This window comes from Homo sapiens, chromosome 9, assembly GCF_000001405.40.
Source record: "Homo sapiens chromosome 9, GRCh38.p14 Primary Assembly".
Lineage (NCBI taxonomy): Eukaryota > Metazoa > Chordata > Mammalia > Primates > Hominidae > Homo > Homo sapiens.
In genome coordinates this window covers 137,048,032-137,070,662 of record NC_000009.12, presented here as the reverse complement: position 1 = coordinate 137,070,662, position 22,631 = coordinate 137,048,032, and the positions used below count along the sequence as shown (strand labels likewise).

At 61.3% G+C, this 22,631-nt stretch overlaps 2 protein-coding genes and 1 long non-coding RNA gene across 6 annotated transcripts, besides 12 other annotated features; 2 read left to right on the top strand and 1 right to left on the bottom strand.

Moving 5' to 3' along the window:
• Positions 49 to 458: a silencer, noted in NCBI's record as "silent region_20573". NCBI's record gives its function as "represses an Ori minimal core promoter by ATAC-STARR-seq in GM12878 lymphoblastoid cells {active_cell/tissue: GM12878}" and the evidence as "EXISTENCE:reporter gene assay evidence [ECO:0000049][PMID:35858748]".
• On the top strand, positions 106 to 8,536 carry SAPCD2 (suppressor APC domain containing 2). 2 transcript variants are annotated; one of them, XM_011519180.4, is made up of 7 exons: positions 106 to 773; positions 870 to 959; positions 4,289 to 4,401; positions 4,995 to 5,141; positions 5,478 to 5,585; positions 5,684 to 5,800; positions 5,876 to 8,536. In XM_011519180.4, exons 1-7 carry the CDS (start codon positions 203 to 205, stop codon positions 6,002 to 6,004), a joined length of 1,275 nt encoding a protein of 424 aa, XP_011517482.1. In that variant the 5' UTR covers positions 106 to 202; the 3' UTR covers positions 6,005 to 8,536. The 2 variants fall into 2 exon arrangements, with proteins under 2 accessions (XP_011517482.1, NP_848543.2); NM_178448.4 differs by lacking the exon at positions 870 to 959.
• Positions 629 to 678: a silencer, noted in NCBI's record as "silent region_20572". NCBI's record gives its function as "represses an Ori minimal core promoter by ATAC-STARR-seq in GM12878 lymphoblastoid cells {active_cell/tissue: GM12878}" and the evidence as "EXISTENCE:reporter gene assay evidence [ECO:0000049][PMID:35858748]".
• Positions 729 to 778: a silencer, noted in NCBI's record as "silent region_20571". NCBI's record gives its function as "represses an Ori minimal core promoter by ATAC-STARR-seq in GM12878 lymphoblastoid cells {active_cell/tissue: GM12878}" and the evidence as "EXISTENCE:reporter gene assay evidence [ECO:0000049][PMID:35858748]".
• Positions 1,907 to 2,887: an enhancer, noted in NCBI's record as "H3K27ac-H3K4me1 hESC enhancer chr9:139962228-139963208 (GRCh37/hg19 assembly coordinates)". NCBI's record gives its function as "activates a minimal SCP1, AML or CMV promoter by ChIP-STARR-seq in naive and primed H9 embryonic stem cells {active_cell/tissue: H9 hESC(naive and primed)}" and the evidence as "EXISTENCE:reporter gene assay evidence [ECO:0000049][PMID:30033119]".
• Positions 2,155 to 2,204: a silencer, noted in NCBI's record as "silent region_20570". NCBI's record gives its function as "represses an Ori minimal core promoter by ATAC-STARR-seq in GM12878 lymphoblastoid cells {active_cell/tissue: GM12878}" and the evidence as "EXISTENCE:reporter gene assay evidence [ECO:0000049][PMID:35858748]".
• Positions 2,505 to 2,554: an enhancer, noted in NCBI's record as "active region_29340". NCBI's record gives its function as "activates an Ori minimal core promoter by ATAC-STARR-seq in GM12878 lymphoblastoid cells {active_cell/tissue: GM12878}" and the evidence as "EXISTENCE:reporter gene assay evidence [ECO:0000049][PMID:35858748]".
• Positions 6,077 to 6,854: an enhancer, noted in NCBI's record as "H3K27ac-H3K4me1 hESC enhancer chr9:139958261-139959038 (GRCh37/hg19 assembly coordinates)". NCBI's record gives its function as "activates a minimal SCP1, AML or CMV promoter by ChIP-STARR-seq in naive H9 embryonic stem cells {active_cell/tissue: H9 hESC(naive)}" and the evidence as "EXISTENCE:reporter gene assay evidence [ECO:0000049][PMID:30033119]".
• Positions 16,367 to 16,446: a silencer, noted in NCBI's record as "silent region_20569". NCBI's record gives its function as "represses an Ori minimal core promoter by ATAC-STARR-seq in GM12878 lymphoblastoid cells {active_cell/tissue: GM12878}" and the evidence as "EXISTENCE:reporter gene assay evidence [ECO:0000049][PMID:35858748]".
• Positions 16,547 to 16,616: a silencer, noted in NCBI's record as "silent region_20568". NCBI's record gives its function as "represses an Ori minimal core promoter by ATAC-STARR-seq in GM12878 lymphoblastoid cells {active_cell/tissue: GM12878}" and the evidence as "EXISTENCE:reporter gene assay evidence [ECO:0000049][PMID:35858748]".
• ENTPD2 (ectonucleoside triphosphate diphosphohydrolase 2) lies at positions 16,602 to 22,556 on the top strand. Of its 3 annotated transcripts, none has more exons than NM_001246.4 (9): positions 16,602 to 16,782; positions 18,315 to 18,432; positions 19,003 to 19,153; positions 19,293 to 19,452; positions 19,534 to 19,761; positions 20,125 to 20,379; positions 20,674 to 20,793; positions 21,657 to 21,722; positions 21,803 to 22,556. In NM_001246.4, the coding sequence occupies exons 1-9, from the start codon at positions 16,666 to 16,668 to the stop codon at positions 22,004 to 22,006; spliced, it is 1,419 nt and encodes a 472-aa protein (NP_001237.1). In that variant the 5' UTR covers positions 16,602 to 16,665; the 3' UTR covers positions 22,007 to 22,556. The 3 variants fall into 3 exon arrangements, with proteins under 3 accessions (NP_001237.1, NP_982293.1, XP_011517514.1); NM_203468.3 differs by having other exon boundaries at positions 21,588 to 21,722; XM_011519212.3 differs by lacking the exon at positions 16,602 to 16,782 and having other exon boundaries at positions 18,332 to 18,432; positions 19,003 to 19,137; positions 21,588 to 21,722.
• Positions 17,288 to 18,318, bottom strand: LOC105376327 (uncharacterized). The gene is made up of 2 exons (XR_930455.2): positions 17,788 to 18,318; positions 17,288 to 17,653 (listed from the first exon to the last, which is right to left on the bottom strand). It is a non-coding gene; the product is annotated as an uncharacterized LOC105376327 (long non-coding RNA).
• Positions 20,565 to 20,624: a silencer, noted in NCBI's record as "silent region_20567". NCBI's record gives its function as "represses an Ori minimal core promoter by ATAC-STARR-seq in GM12878 lymphoblastoid cells {active_cell/tissue: GM12878}" and the evidence as "EXISTENCE:reporter gene assay evidence [ECO:0000049][PMID:35858748]".
• Positions 20,962 to 21,490: an enhancer, noted in NCBI's record as "H3K27ac-H3K4me1 hESC enhancer chr9:139943625-139944153 (GRCh37/hg19 assembly coordinates)". NCBI's record gives its function as "activates a minimal SCP1, AML or CMV promoter by ChIP-STARR-seq in primed H9 embryonic stem cells {active_cell/tissue: H9 hESC(primed)}" and the evidence as "EXISTENCE:reporter gene assay evidence [ECO:0000049][PMID:30033119]".
• Positions 21,491 to 22,019: an enhancer, noted in NCBI's record as "H3K27ac-H3K4me1 hESC enhancer chr9:139943096-139943624 (GRCh37/hg19 assembly coordinates)". NCBI's record gives its function as "activates a minimal SCP1, AML or CMV promoter by ChIP-STARR-seq in primed H9 embryonic stem cells {active_cell/tissue: H9 hESC(primed)}" and the evidence as "EXISTENCE:reporter gene assay evidence [ECO:0000049][PMID:30033119]".

The window sequence follows — 22,631 nt, the reverse complement described above, 5'->3', positions numbered from 1 at the left end:
CTCCTCTCAGCCTATCAGAGAGCAGATGGGACGGGCTCGGCCAATGGCCGCGGCGCATGTTAATGAGGGCTGACGCCGCGAGGAGGGCCCCATTCAAAAGTAGTCGCTATTGTCGCCGTGGGCTGAGCTCGCCGGGCCGGCCCCTCCGTGGGGCCGCGCTGGGACGCACGCGGGTGGACGAGGGGACCGATCCCGGGCGCCCATGGCCGGGGCCGCCATGGCCGAGCGGGGCCGCGTGCCTCCCCCCGCACCCGCGCCCAGCACGGAGGGGCTGCCGCGCGCCTTCCTGCAGAGCCTGCGCACCCTGTTCGACATCCTGGACGACCGGCGGCGCGGCTGCGTGCACCTGCGCGAGATCGAGTCCCGCTGGCAGGGCACCGACGCGCGGGAGCTGCCCCGCGGGGTGCTGGAGGGCTTGCGCCAGGTGGCCCCGGCCAGCGGCTACCTGACCTTCGAGCGCTTCGTGGCCGGCCTGCGCACCTCCCTGCTGAGCGCCGACGGCGGCCCCCGGGACCCCACGCGCGCCCCGGCCCGGCCCGGGGATCAGCCGCCGCCGCCGCCGCAGCGCCTGGTGTTCGCTCCGGCCGACGAGCCGCGGACGGTCCTGGAGAGGAAGCCCCTGCCCCTGGGCGTGCGCGCCCCTCTGGCCGGTCCCAGCGCCGCCGCCCGCAGCCCGGAGCAGCTGTGCGCCCCGGCTGAGGCGGCGCCCTGCCCCGCGGAGCCCGAGCGGTCCCAGAGCGCGGCGCTGGAACCGAGCTCCAGCGCGGACGCAGGTGAGTTCCGGACGGCCCCCGGGCACCCTCGTAGCTCTCCCGGGCCCGGGCCAGAAACCGCAGTCCCACAGCTGCTGCCCGTGCATTTCCCACAAGGGACGGGACCGGGGAGCGGCTCTTCGTGGACTCCGGATCCTGGAGGGCGCCTCGGCGGGTCTGGAGGGAAAGGGCTTCATGCTTGTCGCGGTGAGCCCAGGGGCTTGCTTAGGGAGGCAAGCCAGACCCTCTCCTGCCACAGCATAAGGCCACCAGGGCCGGGGGGTGGCAGGTGACTCAGAAAACCCACCGGGAGCCCAACCTGTACCAAGCCTGAGCTTGGGCTCTCCATCTCCAATACCCTTTCCGCACCTGGGGACACCTGGGCCCTCAGCCTCCTGTCTGTGGCTGCTCAGGCAGAAGTGCTTCCTTCTCAAAGAAAGGGTCCCCCTTCTCAGTGTGACAGCTTAGCCAGGGGGGCTGGGCCCACTGACCCCACTGAGGCCTAGGCAGGCGGGGGCTGCTGCTGGTGGCCCAAGAGGACCTGGCCCTGTTGCCAAGATGGGCAGGGGCGTGGGTGGATCTCCTGCACCCCAGTGGGGCTGTACTATGGCAGATGCCATGGAGGGACATAGGCCGTAGTCCCTGGGGATGGCTGGCACACTCCTCTCCTGCCTTCCGGTCCAGTTGGCAGTGATGGGAGATTGCTGAATGGTCCCCTGTCTCCCCCAACCCAGTGCCTGCCTTGGGAACAGGACCTGTATTATGGCTGGGGTTGGGGGGCCAAGCTCCCAGAGGGGCCCCAGGCCCCACAGCCCATTCGGCCTGTGCACCCGTTCTGCCAGGGGAGGCCTGCCCACCGGTGGCTCCTGCCGGTCCCTGTGCTGCCTGCTGCTCTGCCACCCTCCCTGTACTGCTCCCCCACCTCAGCCATATTCTCCAGCCCTACAGCTGGTGTTTGGAGCCACGGCGGCCCTGGCCTCCCTGGTGATCTGATCCAGCAGCCACACCAGGCTGGGGGACCCCTAGTTCTATGGTGAGGGAACCTTCAGAGGGTATCTGGCTCCAAATGCAGGGTCAGCGTCATCCATGTGGCCATGCAGTTTGAAATCAGCCATGGGATTGCACGCTGTGGCCGGGCCTGGGGTTTGGAGGCCTAAGCCTGTGGTCCACCCCTGCTCTGCTCTGATGCCCCATGCGGCACTGGCTCACGTACCACATCTCCCTGAAGGCCACATGGCTAGGGCTGTAGCTGTCACCCTCTCACAGGCAAACGGAGGGCCAGACAAATGGCGTGACATATTTGATTGACACAGCTGGCTTTTGGGGTGTCAAATCTGGAGCTCTGAGGTCACCCCAACTCCCAGAAAGCCTGCCAACACACACAGCCTTCCAAGCCCCCAGCCCAGATGTTCAGGGCCTCTTTCCTTGTTCCCACCTGGGACTGCGTGTTTGCTCCAGGCTGGCTGTGGCCCTGGAGGTGTGGCCTGCTGGCTCAGGGCCCTGGAGGGGCAGAGCCACCACCCCCACCTAGAGGCCATCTAGCTCATCACCCAGCACGCTGCTATCTGGGGACCCAGGAGCTGCTCTATGGACTCAACTGTACAGACCGGGCCCAGGTGTCCTGGGACTTCCTCTATGGCCTCCCTCTGTCTGTACCCTCTCTGCTCCCACCTCCTGAAGGGCTGTGTGCTCTTCCACTGTCTTGCCCCAGAGCTGCCAGCCGCTCAGCACCGCAGGCTGGAGTGCGAATTCGGGCCTGCCTGGAGCCAGGCTCTCTGCCGTGCCTACCTGGGCCCAATTCTTGCATCACTCCCTGACTCCTGTGGCCAGGTGCCAGGGGCATGGCCTCTAAGGATGTGCCTGGTGCTGGGGCTACAGCTGGAGGCCGAAGGAGGATGCCTTCCTCCACACCTGTACCCACTTCTGTAGCCTGGGGAGGTGCACCTACTCCCTCACCAGGAAGCTGGGCCGGAGTGGCACCAACGCGATACTCTTGGCTGCCCCCAGGGGGAGCCCTCAAACAAACTTCAGAGCAGGGGTCTGTGAGCACCAGGACGTGCCTGACTTGTCAGTTGGGTGCACCGCCTGGCGTATCACACACGCGGGACTTTTTTTTTTTTTTTTTTTTTTTTTTTTGAGATGGAGTCTTGCTCTGTCGCCCAGGCTGGAGTGCAGTGGCGCGAATCTCAGCTCACTGCAACCTCCGCCTCCTGGGTTCAAGCGATCCTCCTGCTTCAGCCTCCCGAGTAGCTGGGATTACAGGTGCATGCCACCACGCCCTGCTAATTTTTGTATTTTTAGTAGAGACAGGGTTTCACCATGTTGGCTAGGCTGGTCTTGAACTCCTGACCTCAACTGATCCCCCCCCGCCCCAGCTTCCCAAAGTGCTGGGATTACAGGTGTGAGCCACCGTGCCCGGCAAGGGATCTTTTTTTTTTTTGAGACAAAGTTTTGCTGTGTTGCCCAGCCTGGAGTGCAGTGGCGCAATCTGGGCTCAGTGGAACCTCTGCCTCCCAGGCTCAAGCAATCCTCCTGCCTCAGGCTCCTGAGTAGCCGGGACCACAGGTGCATGCCACTGCACCAGGCTAATTTTTGTGTTTCTAATAGAAATGGGGTATTGCCGGCCGGGCACAGTGGCTCACGCCTGTAATTCCAGCACTTTGGGAGGCTGAGGTGGGTGGATCACCTGAGGTCAGGAGTTCAGGACCAGCCTGGTCAACATGGTGAAACCTCATCTCTACTAAAAAATACAAAAAGTAGCTGGGCATGGTAGTGGGTGTCTGTAATCCCAGCTACTCGGGAGGCTGAGACCGGAGAATCACTTGAACCTGGGAGGCGGAGGTTGCAGTGAGCCAAGATCATACCATTGCACTCCAGCCTGGGCAACAGGAACAAAACAACGTCTCAAGAAAAAAAGGAAGAAATGGGGTTTTGCCATGTTGCCCAGGCTGGTCTCAAACTCCTGAGCTCAAGCGATCCACCCGCCTTGGTCCCCAAAAGTGCTGGGATTACAGGCGTGAGCCACTGTGCCCGGCCATGCGGGACTAACTTTCTATCAGAGTCACCATCCTGGGAAAAGTTAGGTTTCCGTCATTCACACCCACATCTCCTGCTGCCTTGCAGGACCCCGTGCAGATGGGAGAGGCGTAGTCAGGACCAGAACCCCCCCGCCCACTCCTCCCTTACCCAGCTGCCTTGGAGACCCAGGGTGTGCCTGCCATGTTCTGGGCACTGGGTGTGCAGAAGAGAGCTGGATAAGGCCTCTGGCCCCAGAGAGCTCACGGACCGATGAGGGGGCAGGGTGTGTGTTTGAGCAAACATGCGGGCTTGGCGGCACAGCCCTCCCCAAGCCAGTGTGAGGAGCTGGAAAGGGGAGAGGGACCAAACTCCAGCCTGGCACAGAGGCTACACGTGGGCCATGCCAGGCTGGTGCCCGAGACCTCGAGGGTGGGCTGAGATGTGGAGGCCGCTGCACCTCAGCAGAGCCTGGCCAGGCAGGTCTGGAGGTGAGCCAGGCCCATGCCTCTCCATAACAGGTGCAGTGGCGTGCAGGGCCCTGGAGGCGGACTCAGGGGATGCCCGGCGGGCTCCCCGTGCCCGAGGGGAACGTCGGAGGCACACCATCGCCAGCGGCGTGGACTGCGGCCTGGTGAGCAGGGACTGGGGCTCTGTGGGGCTCTCCATCTTGCCTGGAGGCTGGAGGCCGGGATGGGAGCAGGGGGGCCTTGAGCCTGGGGGAGTCCATGGCGGAAGTACAGTCAGCTCTGGACATCTCTCTCCCTACCTGGGCTTGACTCCCCTGGAGGGATGGCCCAGGGTCAGGCAGAGGGAGGTCAAGAGGTCGTTTAGGGCAGCTATGGTGGCTGCCCAGCCCGCCTCACGAGGTTGCTGCTGCAAGCCAGTCTGGCTTCCCAGCTGTGTGCTCACCACAGGCAGACTTCGGGAGGGTGGGCTCAGCTGAAGGGTCCGTCACCCCTCCCCCAGGGAAGCCTGAGTGGAGGGGCTAAGAAAGGCCAAGACCCCTCAGCAGGAGGAACGGGGCTCCTGCTCCAAATGGGCCTATGGGGCTCACACATGCAGGTGTCAGCAGAAGCGTGCGTCCGTGGGTGTTTGCAAACGTGTACACGTGCTGCTGCATTTGTGTCTGTGGCTCTGGTGCCCACCCACAGGTGAGCTCATGCATGTGTGGACGTGTGCGTGCTCACTGGGGCCAGGCATTCCATGTAAATGCACGTATTGCAGCTGAAGCAGATGAAGGAGCTGGAGCAGGAGAAGGAGGTGCTGCTGCAGGGTTTGGAGATGATGGCGCGGGGCCGCGACTGGTACCAGCAGCAGCTGCAACGAGTGCAGGAGCGCCAGCGCCGCCTGGGCCAGAGCAGAGCCAGCGCCGTGAGTGCCACAGCCCTGTCCCCAGATCCCCACACATGGGGACCCCAGCTCACCCCAGGCACCCTTGGGCATTGTGGCTGCCCCTATTCCCGGACACAGTGGCTGTCGATTCCACCCAGGATGCTGAGACATCCCTTTCTCCGCCTGTGGCTGCCCCACTCCTAGGGCCTAAGGTGTCTTGGGCAGACCTCCCACCTCAGCAATGCCCCTGGGACCCTCTAGGCTCTCTGCAGCATCAGGAGGCAGGAGAGCCACCTGTGGGAACCCCTATCAAGGCACCTTGCTGGCCCCGGCTGGACCTCCTCTCTGACCGCTTGTCCTCTGCTTTCTTCCCAGGACTTTGGGGCTGCAGGGAGCCCCCGCCCACTGGGGCGGCTACTGCCCAAGGTACAAGAGGTGGCCCGGTGCCTGGGGGAGCTGCTGGCTGCAGCCTGTGCCAGCCGGGTGAGTGTACCCCAAACCCCCACACCCACGCTGGGGCCCAGGCCAGTTTAGTGCTTCCCCGCCCTCGTCCAGGCCTGCCTAATCCTGCCCTCCCGCAGGCCCTGCCCCCGTCCTCCTCCGGGCCCCCCTGCCCTGCCCTGACGTCCACCTCACCCCCGGTCTGGCAGCAGCAGACCATCCTCATGCTGAAGGAGCAGAACCGACTCCTCACCCAGGTAGGGCAGGCGCGGGAGGGGTGCAGGGGTGGGGGTGAGGCCCCGCAGGCCTTGACCAACTGTGCACCTGCCCAGGAGGTGACCGAGAAGAGTGAGCGCATCACGCAGCTGGAGCAGGAGAAGTCGGCGCTCATTAAGCAGCTGTTTGAGGCCCGCGCCCTGAGCCAGCAGGACGGGGGACCTCTGGATTCCACCTTCATCTAGTCCTTGTGGGCCGCGTGGGCCCCCAGGGCCAGCCTGGCACTCAGCCCTTCGAGGGTGGGCGCCCCATCGCACCCACCCTCTCTGGCTGGAGACCCCCGGCAGGCCCAGGCACAGTCCCGGAGTGGGCGCCTTCCTGCCGCCCTTGCCAGATGGGCTCCCCAGGCCTGCCCCCGGCTGGTCCCCGCACCGAGCGCTTGACTCCGTTTTGGCTCCTGGTGCTGACATGGGCTGGGGCTCTCTTGAGTCCGCATAGTCCGCAGCTACTACTGCCGCTGTCAGTGGACAGTGGGGTACCCCTCCATGAGTTAGCGTCCCCCCGTTTCCAGCGGTGCCGCCCTGGGTCCCATCTTCAGGGAAAGGCACTGCCCACGCCAGGCTGCACTTCCAACAACGGGCAGCAGAGGGCGCGGGGCGGCTCCGACGCGGGTCCAAGGGCAGCTTCCCGCTCAACCAGGGCACCAGGACGAGGTGGCTGTAGCTCGGACGGACGGAAGTAGATGGAGGGGGTGGGGACGGCCTGTAAGCGGGGGGTGCCTGCCTGGCTGGGGAGCCCCAGGGATAGCGGTCGGACTTCAGGTTCTGGCCAAGGCTGAGGGACCCTGGCTGCAGCGGATCGGCACGCCGGGTGGGCGAGAGCTTGGCCTGCATGTGCCTCCCACAGACCCTGGGGTGATGGCCTTCCCCCTCTTGGCCGGGACGTTGCCCCACGTTGAGTCCCACACAACATCCTGTGAGCCTGGCTCCCCAGGAGGGCCCCCAGACAGCTCCCAGGCACGTCATAGGCAAAGCCTGTTCCCCCGACTCAGGATTTCCAAGGCCTGGGGTCCTGCTCACCCCCCTTTGCTCTCACGCCCAGCCTGTCCCCAGGTTTCAGCTGGGAGAGGCCACCTCCCTCAGCCAAGGAAAACGAGAACCCCCAGGGTACAGGAGGAGGCTGGGGCAGGTCCCCTTGGGTGTCACTCCCTCAGCCCCTGCCCAGGCCCACTCCCGCTGGTGCTGGAGTACGCACTGGTGGGGGGGCCCTGCTCAGCCCAACCTGGAGGGTCCCAGTGTCACCAGAACCAGGGGCACGGCAACAGCATCGATGGGTTCTGCAGCCCAGGGCCCCCGATGCGGGGTCAGTGCGTGGGGGGCGCAGGGCCCCCGATGCCGATGCGGGGTCAGTGTGTGTGGGGCGCAGGGCCTCCGATGCGGGGTCAGTGCGTGGGGGGCGCAGGGCCCCCTCGTGTCCAGGGCACTTTGGTACACTGTCCCACAAGGCACCTGTCTCAGAGGAGGGGCCCTGGCAGGCAGCGTGGCAACTCCCTTCCGGAGCCCAGCTCCATGCTAACCTGCCCACAGCAACCCCACAGAGCCACATTCCCTGCTGCACCTGGTCTGCAGGGGTGTCCCAGGACAGGCCCAAGTCAGCCCAGCATGCAGCTGCCCTCCTACCCTGAAGATGGGAGTGGGCTTTCCAGGGGACATAAGGATGTCAGGCCTGGACCTCCTGGGCAGGAAAGGGTGCAGGTCCTGAGGGCCTGTGCCCCACAGCCCCAGCACCAGGTGGACTGCAGCGCAGTGGGTGGGCCAGTGGCAGCCAGGGAGAAGCCCCCCGTCAGCAGGCTGGGGTCTGCCCACCAGGGCCTCCCCACGTCTGCCTTTGAGGGTGCCTGCCATGCCCTGGGGGATCCTGGCATCTTTACTGGACTGGAAGCAGGAGACAGAACAGTGTCTGTCCCGGGGTGACTTCATCAGGAGACCGCCCACATAGAGCTGGACCCCGCAGCTGAAGCGGAAATGTGAGACAGGCTGGCACCTCCGGAAAAACTGCCTTTCAGCCTTGGTGTTCCGTGCAAGGTGAAAAGAAATAGGTCCTCCCAGTTTACAGCTTGAAATCAGGCTAGTGAGTGGCCCTGGAGACCACGAGGGGAGAATTTAAAGGCCCCGGCTGGCAGGGTCTAGGTGGCTGGCAGAGGCACATGCAGACCCTGCCTGGAGCCTGCCCTAGGACGCTGGGCGGGTCAGTCTCCGTGCAGGATGTGAGCAGCGTCCCTGGGCTCTATCCGCGAGGTGCCAGTAGCGTGTGCAGGTACATACACGTGCGTGCACACTGTGATGACACCCGGAAATGTCTCAGGATGTTGAAATGTGTCCTTGGGGGCAGAAGTGTCCCCAGTTGAGAATCTGCCCCAGAGGAACACACCCACACCAGGCCTCAGGATTTTGTGTTGATCAAGTTCCAAGGAAAAGGAACATCTCAGCCGGGCGTGGTGGTTCACGCCTGGAATCCCAGCACTTGAGGCCAGGAGTTCCAGAGCAGCCTGGGCAACGCAGTGAGAGACCCCATCTCTACAAAAAAAAAAAAGAAAGAAAGAAAATGAGAGATCCAGGTTTAAAAATTCATAAACACCACAAGGAAACAATACACTATGAGACCCAGCAGAAGCAACAGATTGACTCTAGACCCAGATACTAGAATTATCAGAGAGAATATAAAGTAACAGTGTTTTATATATCTAAAGAAATAAAAGAGATTTCTGGAAACATGAACAAGGAGTGGTATTTATAGTTCCTTACTCCATGAAAAGCATGATCTCTTAATGCTATAAAGAAGACTAGGCCGGGCGCAGTGGCTCATGCTTGTGGTCCCAGCACTTTGGGAGGCCGAGGTGGGTGGATCACCCGAGGCCAGGAGTTTGAGACCAGCCTGGCCAACATGGTAAAACCCCGTCTCTACTAAAAATACAAAAATTAGCCAGGCGTGGTGTCGGGCGCCTGTAGTCCCAGCTACTCGGGAGGCTGAGGCAGGAGAATTGCTTGAACCCAGGAGGCAGAGATTGCAGTGAGCTGAGATGGCACCACTGCACTCCAGCCTGGGCTACAGAATGAGACTCCGTCTCAAAAAAATAATATTAATAAAATAAACATGTATCGGTCGGGTGCAGTGGCTCACACCAGTAATCCCAGCCTTTTGTGAGGCAGAGGCGGGAGGGTTGCTTCAGCCCAGGAGTTTGAGGTCAGCCTGGGCAATACGGCAAAACCCTGACTCTACCAAAAATACAAAAATTAGCCAGATGTGGTGGCTCATGCCTGTGTTCCCAGTTACTGGGGCTGCTGAGGTGGGAGGATCACTTGAGCCCAGGAGTTTGAGGTTACCATGAGCTATGATTGTGCCACTGCACTCCAGCCTGAGTGACAGAGCAAGACCCTGTCTCAAAATAAATAAAAGAAAGAAAAGAGAGAATTCGAGAAAGCCCAGACTTTTGGAATTTTTTTTTTTTTTTGAGATGGAGTCTCGCTCTGTCGCCCAGGCTGCAGTGCAGTGGCGCGATCTTGGCTCACTGCAAGCTCCACCTCCTGGGTTCACGCCATTCTCCTGCCTCAGCCTCCTGAGTAGCTGGGACTACAGGCGCCCGCCACCACACCCGGCTAATTTTTTGTATTTTTAGTAGAGACGGGGTTTCACCGTGTTAGCCAGGATGGTCTCGATCTCCTGACCTCATGATGTGCCTGTCTCAGCCTCCCAAAGTGCTGGGATTACAGGCGTGAGCCACCACGCCCGGCCCAGACTTTTGGATATTAAAGCAGACACGTCTAAACAACTTATGTGTCAAATTTAAAAATTAGCCGGTGTGGTGGCGCGTGCCTGTAGTCCCAGCTACTCAGGAGGTGGAGGTGGGAGGATTGCTTGAGCCTGGGAGGTCGAGGCTGCTGTGGGCCAAGATTACATCACTGCACTCCCGCCTGGGTGGTAGCGTGAGACCTTGTCTCAAACAGACACACACACACACACACCAATAAAGGTATAAATAGCTTTTCCTCTTTCATGAAAAGAATAGTAAAATAGGAAACAAACATGACAGAAACTTGGTTGAGAAAAAGTACACAAAATTTCTGGCTAAATTAATCAAGAAAAAAGAGATAAGGCACAAATAAATGATATTAGGAATAAAAAAGAGCAAAATAGTCACACATGCTGCAGAAGTTAAGCTGATTCTAAGAGGATATTTTAAATGAGATTATGCCAATTCAGCTGGAGTGGGTAACTTCCTAGAAAAATACAAAATCAGCCACATGGGCAGGCTTACGCCTGTAATCCCAGCACTTTGGGAAGCTGACGCGGGAGGACTGCCCGAGCCCAGGAGTTTGGAACCAGCCTGGGCAACACAGGGAGACCCTCCACCTCTACAAAAAATAAAAAAATTGTCTGTGTGTGGTGATGTGCCCCTGTGGTCCCACCTACTCGGGAGGCTGAAGTGGGAGGATCACGTGAGCTCAGGAGACGGAGGTTGCCGTGACCTGTGATTGCACCACGGCACTCCAGCCTGGGCAACAGAGTGAGTCCCTGTCTCTAAAAATAATAATAACAAATCTCAAAAAACAAAAAAGAAAGAAAGAAAAGAAAAAAATACAAAATTGGCTCAGGAAGAATAGTTAATAGGGGTCTGGCCCTGTAACTATCAAAGAAATGGAAACAGTACTGTAGAAGCCAGCACAGTGGCATATGCCTGTAGTCCCAGCTATTCCAGAGGCTGAGGTGGGAGGATTTTTGAAGCTCAGGAGGTTGAGTCTAGCTTGGGCAACATAGTAAGTCTGGTCTCTAACCCATCTCTTAAAGACAAAACAAACAAAAAACTTCCCACAGAAAAATTGGGCCTAGGTGTTTTTTTTTTCAGGCAAGTTTTTTTTTTTTTTTTTTTGAGACAGAGTCTCGCTCTTTCGCCCAGGCTGGAGTGCACTGGCTCGATCTCGGCTCACTGCAAGCTCCTCCTCCTGGGTTCACGCCATTCTCCTGCCTCAGCCTCCCAAGTAGCTGGGACTACAGGCGCCCACCACCACGCCCGGCTAATTTTTTGTATTTTTACTAGAGACGGGGTTTCACCGTGTTAGCCAGGATGGTCTCAATCTCCTGACCTCGTGATCCGCCCGCCTCGGCCTCCCAAAGTGCTGGGATTACAGGCGTGAGCCACCGCACCCGGCCTTTTCAGGCAAGTTCTACCATAAATTGCAGGAACAGATAATCCAAATATTACGCTAATTTAAAAAAAATTAAAGCAATTTTTTTGTTTGTTTGTTTTTGGTAGAGACGAGGTCTCACAATGTTGCCTAGGCCGGTCTCCCAAAGTACTGGGATTACAGGTCAGACCATCATGATATCAAAACCATAGAGGAGGCCAGCCACGGTGGCTCACACCTGTAATCCCAGCACTCTGGGAGGCCGAGGAAGGTGGATCACCCGAGGCCAGGAGTTTAAGACCAGCCTGGCCAACATGGGGAAACCCCGTCTCCACTAAAAATACAAAAATGAGCTGGGTGTGGTGGCACATGCCTGTAGTCCCAGCTACTCACGAGGCTGATGCACAAGAATCCCTTGAGCACGGGAGGTAGAGGTTGCAGTGAGCTGAGATTGAGCCACCGTACTCTAGCCTGAGTGACACAGCAACACCTTGTCTCAAAAAAAAAAAAAAGGCAAAGGGAAGCCAGCCATGGTGTGGACCTGTGGTCCCAGCTACTGCAGAGGCTGAGGCAGGAGGACCATTCGAGGCCAAGAGTTTGAGGCCACAATGAGCTATGATTGCACCACTGCAGTCCAGCCTGGGCAATAGAGCAAGACCCTGTTGCTAAAACAAACAAACCAAAGGCCTGTTACCTACTTACAGGGAAGAGGCAGCAGGTGGCAGGGGAGGGGAGAGACTGTTACCAAAACACCAGGGGTTCAGTCCAGGTCCTGCTGTTCGCTGCACAGAAAGCCAATCACGGAGACCAGGAGCACCGCCAGGGGGAAGGCTTTAAGCCGGCCGCAGCCAAGGAGATGGGTGCTCAGTCTCAAATCCGTCTCCCTGACCCACTGAAATTAGGGGTTTATAGAGCAGGGAAGCCACGTAACTAGGTGTGAGAAAACAGGAATTAGGGGCAGCTGAAGAAGAGGAGTTGGTCAACAGGAAGCTGGTGGTTGGCCAGGCAATCTTGACAGCTGGGGGGTCTGGTGTCTCATTGTCAAGATACCGTGATCTGGTGAGTTTTAGCTCTTTCATTCTATCTGGGGGCCTCATGGTTGGTTTTCTGAGAAAGGAACTCAAATAGGACAAATGTCACTTTCTCAAATTTTAAGACTAGGAGGATCAATTTCTGTGTTTATTCAAAGAAACCATAAACATCAGTTCCACGGGACAATTGAGCCGGTTTCAAAATCAAAGAAGGCCAAAGCCAGGCAGGGTGTGGCACACACCTCTAGTCCCCAGCTACTCAGGAGGACTGCTTGAGGCCAGGAATTTACCAGCCTGGGCAACATAGTGAGGCCCCGGTCTCCAATAAAAGGAGATGGGGGGCTGGGTTTGGTGGCTCACGCCTATAATCTCAGCACTTTGAGAGGCCAAGGCAGGTGGATCACTTGAGGTCAGGAGTTCGAGATCAGCCTGGCCAACATGGCAAAACCCCGTCTCTACTAAACATACAAAAATTAGGCTGGGCACGGTGGCTCATGCCTGTAATCCTAGCACTTTGGGAGGCCGAGATGGGCGGATGCTCAGGAGTTTGAGACCAGCCTGGGAGCAACACAGTGAGACCCCGTCTCTATTAGAATGCAAAAAAATTAGCCTGGTGGCACACGGCTGTAGTCCCAGCTATTTGGGAGGCTGAGTCAGAAGAATTGCTTGAACCAGGAGGCGGAGATTGCAGTGAGCCGAGATCACATCACTGCACTCCAGCCTGGGCAACAGAGGAAGAGTCTGTCTCAAAGTAAATAAATAAAATAAGATAAAATGAAATAAAATGCTCACAGTGCCAGCTAGAGCCATCGTTCAGAAAAGAATTTGGCACTTGCTAGAGAAGCAGAACACACACTTGCCTGACAACCAGCAGTTCAGATCCGGGATGCTCCCCAGAGAAGTGCTCTCAAGAGCACACATGCGGCCGGCGCAGCGGCTCACACCTGTCACCCCAGCACTGTGGGAGGCCGACGCAGACGGAGAGGCCGGGCGCGGTGGCTCACACCTGTCATCCCAGCACTGTGGGAGGCCGAGGCAGGCGGGTCGCCTGAGGTCAGGAGTTTGAGACCAGCCTGGCCAATATGGTGAAACCCTGTCTCTACTAAAAATACAAAATTAGTGGGGAATGGTTATAGGCGCCTGTAATCCGAGTTGCTCAGGAGGCTGAGGCGGGAAATCGCTTGAACCCAGGAGGTGGAGGTTGCAGTGAGCTGAGATCGCGCCACTGCACTCCAGCCTGAGCGATAGGGCCAGACTCCACCTCAGATAAAAAATAAAATTAAAAAAAAGAGTGTATATGTGCAGAGCAGCAATCTCAGCAAAGCCTAAAGCCAGACACTGTGTGTTCACCAGCTGCAGCGACACGCCGTCTGCATGTTCTCACTCACAGGATGGAATACAGCAAGGAACAAACAAGCCACACCTCTCAGTGTCAACAGGGTGAATCCCAAACGCGTAACGTGAGTGAAAGAAGCAAGTCCCAGAACAGCACGTCCAGCACATCAGAGACCACCAATGGGGTCCTGCTGCCACCCTGGCATTGCTCTTACCAACTGTGCATATGTGCACCTCCCATTCTGTTGTGTCTCCGACCTCGAACAGGACAGCACAGGCTTCCCCGCCTCCCGTGGGCCTTTGCAAAGTCTGCTCTCCCCAGGCCAGTGGGTGCCCTCCCCACAGGGCTCCCTGTGCATGCATGGAGCCTGGCGTGCTTTGGGCACCCAGGAGTACTACTCAGCAAGCGTTTGTTGAATGACTTAATGAGCACCTGCAGAAAGGGAGCAGTGAGTGAAAGGCCTTTCACAATTAAACCATCAAGGTGTTTCGGCCACAGCACAAGTTTCTTTTTTTTTTTTCTTTTGAGATGGAATCTCGCTCTGTCGTCCAGGCTGGAGTGCAGTGGTGCAGTCTCAGCTCACTGCAACCTCTGCCTCCCAGGTTCAAGCGATTCTCTTGCCTCAGCCTCCCAAATAGCTGGAATTACAGGTGTCTGCCACTACAGCCGACTAATTTTTTTTTTTTTTTTGACTCGCTCTGTCACCCAGGCTGGAGTGCAGTGGCGCGATCTTGGCTCACTGCAAGCTCCGCCTCCCGGGTTCACACCATTCTCCTGCTTCAGCTTCCCGAGTAGCTGGGACTACAGGTGCCCGCCACCACGCCCGGCTAATTTTTTGTATTTTTAGTAGAGATGGCATTTCACTGCGTTAGCCAGGATGGTCTTGATCTCCTGACCTGATGATCCGCCCGCCTCAGCCTTCCAAAGTGCTGGGATTACAGGAGTGAGCCACCGCGCCCGGCCCACAACCGGCTAATTTTTGTATTTCTATTAGAGACGGCGTTTCACCATGTTGGCCAGGCTGGTCTTGAACTCCTGACCTTAAGTGATCCACCTGCCTCAGCTTCCCAAAGTGCTGGAATTACAGACGTGAGCCACACAGCACAAGCTTCTGATGTGGAGACTGAGGCAGGGCAGCCAAGATGTCAGCAGGCCTCAGGAAAGCCCCCCTCCCTGGGAGGTCTGAGCCCTGCGTGGGCGGGAGGCTCCGAGTTCCCTCCCCCAGGGGTTCTCCCCTAACCTCTCTGCATCCGCATGTTCCCAGCTCAGCCGGGGTCATGTGCAGCACATCTGGAGGCCCCATCCCCGAGAGGGTCCTGGAAGCCGAGAGCTGCCCCACCCAGAGGCCCCTCCACCCCTTCAGCTCCTGCCAGCTTCCCTCTGACGCTCTCCCAAGTCTGCCTTCCAGGGTCCCTGAGTCCATGCCAGGAAGGGGCGTTCCCCCGCCCTCACTCCGTCTCAAAGAGAGCTCAGCCTCAGCCTTTGTCCTGGCCGCTCTGGGCTCCCTGCCTCTCCCTCCGCAGGCGAAGCTGGGCACTCGGCCATGAGCCTGTCTCCCCGGGGCAGAGTCCAGCTCCCCTCTCCCTCCCCATCCTCTCAGGCCTGGCAGACCTCCCACTCCCTGGCTTGAGCTTTTTGTCCATGAAAAGAGTCCAGAACACCAGGAAGCCCCGCTGGGCCTGGAGGGAAGCGGGGTACCGCAGGCCAGTGGGGGTCGCAGCACCCTGCCTCTGGGCGGCCTTTGTTCCTTCCTTTTCAGGCATGATGTGCACTGTGCGTGCCTCTCCCTCCTCTGGGCGGTCAGGGGTGGAAGAAAGGCCTGGGGTGTGTGGGGGGAAACTGGGGCCTGGGGCCTGGAGCTTAGCACCGGCAACACCCAGAGATTGCCTGCTGGAGCCCCGCCAGGCTGGGCTGTGAGGCTGAGGCAGCAGAGAGGCTTCCCAGGGTTCCCACCCCTCCCTTTGGGGTCCTGAGCTGGAAGAAAGATGCCTTTACTGGGCCTGTGGCGCCAGACCCTCAGCCCAGGCAGCAATCCCAGCACAATTGTCACTGCCCGTTCCAGAAGGCCGGGCATGGTCTGGACCCTGCCCCATGGGGCTGCCCTTTGGGCCCCAGCAGCCTGCACTCCCTGGTGGCCTTGCCTCGTGGCTCCCTGACGCTGTGTGGCTGGAATTATTGGGACAAGAATTCCCACTTTGCAGCAGGCGCAAAGGGGGTGGCCCCTGGCCGGGCTGGGATGCGGGGCCTGTGAGGCTGCAGAGCCGAAAGGCCAGCCATGTCGTGGGACGGAGGAGCAGGGCTTGCGTCTGGGGCCAGCTGCGCTTCGCCTGCCCCAGCCGTCCCCAGAAGCCTGTTGCTGACCCGCACCCCAAGCTTGGCCTGGGGACCCTCTTCCTTGCCTTTCAGGCCACGTAGAGGCCCCACCTGTTTCCGTCCTGGGGAAGCCTCCTCTGGCCTCCGCAGCCCAAGCCTCTGTTCCCCTCAGGCCGAGGGGGCAGCAGGCGCGGCTGAGGCCCTGGGCTGGGAGGTATGGACCTTTGGCCCGGTCTGTGCTGCTTCTCCTGTTTCTCGGCTCGGTGTGACCTGGGCCGTCCCTCCCCTTCCCCGTTCCTGCGTCCTCACCTTCACCTCAGTACAGGGCCCAGGTGAGGTGGATCTGACTGGGCCTCAAGGGTAGTTCTGGCCTGGGTCAGCTGCGTGTCTCTGGAGCTGACCTGCGCTGGCTCAGCGCCGCAGGCTGGCGGATCCTTGCTGGCCGGGAGGGCATCCCGCAGGCCAGCCTGGTCCTCACCAGCCCTGGGAGTTGGCGCTCAGGGCCCTGCTCCACAAACAGGTGCTGACCCTCGGCTTCCTCCTGAGTCCCCAGCCCGGGCCCCGCGTGGCTCCGCAGCCGACAGTGCCTCATTCCTGCAAGCGAGTCTGGCCTCCTTTCCCGGGCCCGGGAAAAGCGCGGCTCTCCAGCACAGGACCCTCCGAGCCAGCCTCGCCCGCCCACCCCCACGCCAGGTCTCCTGCCTCCACGGCCGGGGGATCCCCTTGCTGAGTGGGCGGGAAGGGGAAGGTGGGCCATAGCCGCGGGGCGCCCGGGCTCAGACCCGGGAGCCGGGGGGCGGTGCTGGTGACTCAGCCGCGCCCGCGTCTCTCACCTGCGCGGGCCGGACGGCGGAAGCTTGGGAGCGGAGGCGAAACCTGTCCGCCCGTGGGCGTGGCCGGTGATGGGCGGGCCCGCCCGGCCTCCCGCCCCTCGTCCCGCCCCGGGGCCCCTACCCCGCGGTCCCGCGGCCCCGCCCGCCTCCGCCTCCGGCTCCCCGCACTCTCCGGGTCCACGCATCGTCCTCCCGCGCGCCCGCCCGCCCATGGCCGGGAAGGTGCGGTCACTGCTGCCGCCGCTGCTGCTGGCCGCCGCGGGCCTCGCCGGCCTCCTACTGCTGTGCGTCCCCACCCGCGACGTCCGGGAGCCGCCCGCCCTCAAGGTGCGCGCCCGGGCACCCAGCGCACGTCTGGGGAGCAGCGGGCCGGGCTTGGAGCCGGGGAGGGGGTGCGGCTGGGAACCTGAGCAGGATCAGCCCGGGACCCCCACCGTGCTCTGCTCCTGGCGGGCTGGGTGGGGTCCCGGGTTCCGCGCTCTGCGCTCCCCGACCGGGTACGCGGAGGGGGCGGGGGGCGGTGGCGCTTCCAGGGCGACGCGGTGCTGAAGGAACAAGTCCCGGGAGTTCCGCGCCCGCCGCCGAGTCCGTCAACGCAGCCCAGGGGCTGTGTCCCCGCTCCCGGGATAGCCCAGCGATGCCCCCTGGGTGCTGCCGGACGCCCGCCCCCAGGCCTGTGCGGGCCCCCAGGGGCACTCCGGGCCACTTCTGCCCTGTGCCGCCGCCCCGGAGGGTGCGGTTAGAGCCACATCGACTGGGTATTCAGCCCAGATGGGGATCCACAAGCCCCAGGACCCAGGGCCCCCGCCAGGACACGAGAGTGGCCCAGAAAGACAGGAGGGCTTGACCGGAGCAGCCCTGGCCGGTCCTCAAAAGGTTGGAGCAGGCTAGCCTGGATCTCCACTCCAGCAGGCCCAGGGACCTCCTGGTCGGCCCCTTTAACCCTTTATTGGGCTTGTAGGGGGGTGGGGTGGAGAGCCAAGTCCCCCAGCCTGATGGGGAGTCAGAAGCAGGGAGCTCTGCGGCCCTGCAGGACGGCCATGTGGCGGTGCACGCGCTGACCTGTTGATGCTCTGGGCTCTGGGGAAGCCTTGGTCGGGATGGACTGGTGCGGCCCTCTCGGAGGCTGGAATTGGCGCCCGGGCCTGGGAGGCTGGTCCCCAGCTTTCCAGGTGGATCCAGGATGCTGGGGCAGGAGCTGGAAAAGGGCATTTACAAGCTCGTGCCACTCAGGTCTGCAGGAAGGCCCACCCAGCACCCCCAACAAGGCAGGGCCAGCCTCTCTCTCTGGCCCTGGCTTGGAGGCCTAGGGAGAGTGTCTTTAGAGCTGACCTGGCTCTGAGGCCCACGGCCAGCCTCGGTGGACCTTCTTCACCTGGGGCCCTGCCTCCTGCATCCTCAGGTTGGGCTGCCGTCAGAGGAGCTGGAAGGAGACAGAGGAGGAAGGAAGAGGGGAGGAAGGAAGAGGGACTCTAGGGAGCTCCTCTTGCAGAGGAGCTTCCTCTCCCTGAGCCTGGGAAACTTGTGCCCCAGGGAAAAGTCCCTGGGGACCCTCTGTCCCTCTGTCCCTGACTCAGTCCCTCAGTCTGCCCTTGCCAGGAAGGCTGCTGCCCAGACCCTGGCATGCTGGCTTCAGGTAGTCAGGAGGGAAGAGTCACCTCCCCACCACCTCCCTGTTCTCCTTCCAACCACGGCCTCAGAGGAGGCCCTGGCCTCCTCTGAGCTTCAGCATGAGGCTTGGCACATGACTGGGTGGGGGGGGGAGCGGTGGCAAACTGGAGGAACCCAACTTCACGTTTGGTGTCAGGGTGTCAGGGCCCCCGGACACCCCAGGCTGACTCCCTCCCCCTCCCCCGCAGTATGGCATCGTCCTGGACGCTGGTTCTTCACACACGTCCATGTTTATCTACAAGTGGCCGGCAGACAAGGAGAACGACACAGGCATTGTGGGCCAGCACAGCTCCTGTGATGTTCCAGGTGAGGCCCAGCCCAGCCCAGCCAGGACGCCCACTCACTGCAGGGTCTCTGGGACCCTCTCCAGCCTTAGCCAGTGCAGGTCCTTCTGCTTAGTGTTGGGTGGGGCTCACTCCAGGCAGAAGCCCTGGAAAGAGAGAGGCTGGTGCCCCTGCGCCTGAGTGGGGCCAGGAGTCGTTTGCATTCTAGAAAGGAAGCCTAGGCAGCAGGTGGGGAGGTTTGAGCCTCGCCGGGCCCAGTATTGGCTTCTGTGCCCCAGATGGAGCAGGAGGAGGTCTGGGGGCCTGGCGGACACACCCAGGCAGGCCTCAGGAGGCCAACCTGGGTTGACCATGCCCAGGGCTTTGTCCTAGCACCTGCACCCACACCCTCTCAGCAGGCAGCAGCCTTGGTCTCCGGGTGGCACCTGGGCCCCTTTGTCTCCAACCTGGGCGTTTCTGGGGGCTTAAGCAGGGAAGGTGTGCCACCTGGTCTGGGAGCCCACGGCCCCCACCCCCACCCTCACTCTCCTGGCCTACGGCCCACCTAGGGGCTGCCCGTGAGGCATAGGCTCATCTCTCTGCCTCCCTCTAGGTGGGGGCATCTCCAGCTATGCAGACAACCCTTCTGGGGCCAGCCAGAGTCTTGTTGGATGCCTCGAACAGGCGCTTCAGGATGTGCCCAAAGAGAGACACGCGGGCACACCCCTCTACCTGGGAGCCACAGCGGGTATGCGCCTGCTCAAGTGAGTGTGCCTGTGCCCTGGCCCTGTCCCCATGATGGCCTTTGGCTGTGACCCCTTGCAGGGCGGACTCCGAGCACCCCTACAGCAGGCTCACAGCCACCTGGGGAGAAGGCCTCTTGGAGTTCTCTGTGTTTTGCAGCCTGACCAATCCAGAGGCCTCGACCAGTGTGCTCATGGCAGTGACTCACACACTGACCCAGTACCCCTTTGACTTCCGGGGTGCACGCATCCTCTCGGGCCAGGAAGAGGGGGTGTTTGGCTGGGTGACTGCCAACTACCTGCTGGAGAACTTCATCAAGGTGGGCCCAGCAGCCAGCCAAAGAGCCAGGGGGCGTGGGCGCCCTCGGCCCCTGGTTGACCCCACACTCCCCTCTCCACAGTACGGCTGGGTGGGCCGGTGGTTCCGGCCACGGAAGGGGACACTGGGGGCCATGGACCTGGGGGGTGCCTCTACCCAGATCACTTTTGAGACAACCAGTCCAGCTGAGGACAGAGCCAGCGAGGTCCAGCTGCATCTCTACGGCCAGCACTACCGAGTCTACACCCACAGCTTCCTCTGCTATGGCCGTGACCAGGTCCTCCAGAGGCTGCTGGCCAGCGCCCTCCAGGTGCCCCTCCACCCTGGCTCACCTGCACTGCACTGTTCCCTCCTGGAGCAGAGCCTGGACAGCCACTGTGCTGTGGAAGGCTTCTCCAGGCTGGGCTTTAATTGGCTGGAAAGACAGGTGGGAGGGTCAGAGCATGAGCAAAGGCCCAGTGGCTGGGCTGGGCCTGGAGAAGGGAGGGCCAGGGACGGCTCTCAGAGGGAGCCTGGTCAGGGGCGTTGGGATCTGTCAAGCAGGCAGTGGGGAGCCATGGATTGCCCCTGAGCACAAAAGTGAAGTTGCCAGAGTGAGACCTGTGGGAGGTTTGTCAGGCTGGTCCTCTGGAGCGGTGGTGGTGCCACCCTGTCACGCTGGTGATTCCCCCAGACCCACGGCTTCCACCCCTGCTGGCCGAGGGGCTTTTCCACCCAAGTGCTGCTCGGGGATGTGTACCAGTCACCATGCACCATGGCCCAGCGGCCCCAGAACTTCAACAGCAGTGCCAGGGTCAGCCTGTCAGGGAGCAGTGACCCCCACCTCTGCCGAGATCTGGTTTCTGGGCTCTTCAGCTTCTCCTCCTGCCCCTTCTCCCGATGCTCTTTCAATGGGGTCTTCCAGCCCCCAGTGGCTGGGAACTTTGTGGTGAGTAGGGGCAGGCGGGTGGCTGGGAACTTTGTCGTGGGTAGGGACAGGCGGGTGGCTGGGAACTTTGTCGTGGGTAGGGACAGGCGGGTGGCTGGGAACTTTGTCGTGGGTAGGGACAGGCGGGTGGCTGGGAACTTTGTCGTGAGTAGGGATAGGCGGGTGGCTGGGAACTTTGTCGTGGGTAAGGGCAGGCGGGTGGCTGGGAACTTTGTCGTGAGTAGGGACAGGCGGGTGGCAGCAGGTGCTCTGAGCCGCTGGGGTTCGGTCACAGTGTGACTGCGCCCCCTACAGGCCTTCTCTGCCTTCTTCTACACTGTGGACTTTTTGCGGACTTCGATGGGGCTGCCCGTGGCCACCCTGCAGCAGCTGGAGGCAGCCGCAGTGAATGTCTGCAACCAGACCTGGGCTCAGGTGAGCCCCGCTCCCACTCCTTCAGGGCTGTGCGGAAGGGCTCAGCCTCCGCCTCCGCATGCCTCCCCAGCCCTGCATGGACAGGCCTCTCGGAGCACCCGCTGCAGTGGGGGCGATGGCAGGCATTAGGCTGACTCCAGAGGTGGCGTGGCTGTGGCCGGTAGGCTGTGAACAAGTCGGGCGGGTTGGAGAAGCTTCGCCAGGCCCGACCCTCATCCCAGATCTGGAGGGCAGGGGGAGGCCGGTGCCCAGGTTTCTGGCTTCTGCCACTGGTTCCCTCCATGGTACCACACAAGGGAAGATGGAAGTGGGTCTGGGCACCGGGAGTGTGCCCACCGGAGACTCCAAGAGAAACGTACGAGTCGTCCCAGGACCGGGGTGGTGAGCGAGGCCCCATTTTGTCCTCCCAGGGCCTAGTCTCAGACAGACTGGGGTGAGGGAGGTGGGGACAGGCGGCGAGCCAGCGGGCAGACTCAGGCCTGGAGCTCGTCCTGTTCCCCTGGCCACACACCAAGGTGTTGCTGCCTCCTGCTCCCTGGTGGCCATGCCTGCTGTCCCTCCTCACTGGCCTTCCAGGCATGGGCGCTGGCTGGGGAGGGATGGAAGCGTGCCCTGCCGGGGGTGCCCCTCGGACTCGGTCTTGCCATTCGTGTCCGGGCCTGTGTGGTGGTCTCTGGCCTCGCACGGCCCGTGTGTGTCTGGGGAGGGGTGAAGCACGCCGCCGGCCCCCTCTCCCCGTGGGGCCGAGACCTCCTGGTGGTCGCCTGCCTGACGGTGTCCCGCCCGCGTCCCAGCTGCAAGCTCGGGTGCCAGGGCAACGGGCCCGCCTGGCCGACTACTGCGCCGGGGCCATGTTCGTGCAGCAGCTGCTGAGTCGCGGCTACGGCTTCGACGAGCGCGCCTTCGGCGGCGTGATCTTCCAGAAGAAGGTGGGCTGGGGCGGGGCGGGGCGGGGCCGACCTTGCGGGGCGGGGCCTCTCGGGAGCTGAGGCCACGCCCTTCCCCGCAGGCCGCGGACACTGCAGTGGGCTGGGCGCTCGGCTACATGCTGAACCTGACCAACCTGATCCCCGCCGACCCGCCGGGGCTGCGCAAGGGCACAGACTTCAGCTCCTGGGTCGTCCTCCTGCTGCTCTTCGCCTCCGCGCTCCTGGCTGCGCTTGTCCTGCTGCTGCGTCAGGTGCACTCCGCCAAGCTGCCAAGCACCATTTAGGGGCCGACGGGGGCAGCTGCCCCATCCCTCCCCCAACCCCTGTATCCCCACCCCGTACTCCCACCCCTCCCACAACCCCTGTACCTCCCACCCCTGTATCCCCACCCCTCCACCCACCCCTCTCCCAACCTCTCTCCCCGCCCCTGTATCCTGCATTCCTCCACCCACCCTCTATCCCCCACCGCTCCACCCCACCACTGTCTTCTCCATCCTTCCACCCCACCCTCAGCGTCTCTGCCCCTAAGGCAGCCCAGGAAATAGGAACTGAGACTCTGGTACCCACAGGAGCCTGGGTGGGCAAAGAGCGCTCAATCCAGCTCCTTGAACCCCTCCAGCCCGCTTCAGCCTGGGCATCACTGCAGGCCCCGTGCTCCTCCTCCTCCTCCTCAGGGCTGGGTCTCCAGAGAGTGGGGCCTTGGTCCTGAGAATCAGCCCTTAGAGGCTCCTTCTGTGTAGTCTGGGTCTGTACTGGGGAGGGTCACAGCCCACGGGCTGGCAGCCAGCCCAGCACCTACTTGTAAAAATTTTGTAATAAAAAGTTTTTCCTAGAGACGTGAAAGGAGAGTGTCTGTGGGGTGGGGCATCCTTGCTGTGGCCTGTGCCCCCACCTTCCCGCTGTTCTAGC

Bases quoted from the DNA above. Each gene is read 5' to 3' on its own strand.
- SAPCD2 (XM_011519180.4), top strand. From the start codon at position 203: ATGGCCGGGGCCGCCATGGCCGAGCGGGGCCGCGTGCCTCCCCCCGCA. The intron at 774-869 runs GTGAGTTCCGGA...ATTTCCCACAAG, and splicing joins GAGCTCCAGCGCGGACGCAG to GGACGGGACCGGGGAGCGGC. The intron at 960-4,288 runs GTGAGCCCAGGG...TCTCCATAACAG, and splicing joins AGGGCTTCATGCTTGTCGCG to GTGCAGTGGCGTGCAGGGCC.
- ENTPD2 (NM_203468.3), top strand. From the start codon at position 16,666: ATGGCCGGGAAGGTGCGGTCACTGCTGCCGCCGCTGCTGCTGGCCGCC. The intron at 16,783-18,314 runs GTGCGCGCCCGG...CCTCCCCCGCAG, and splicing joins GGGAGCCGCCCGCCCTCAAG to TATGGCATCGTCCTGGACGC. The intron at 18,433-19,002 runs GTGAGGCCCAGC...GCCTCCCTCTAG, and splicing joins CAGCTCCTGTGATGTTCCAG to GTGGGGGCATCTCCAGCTAT.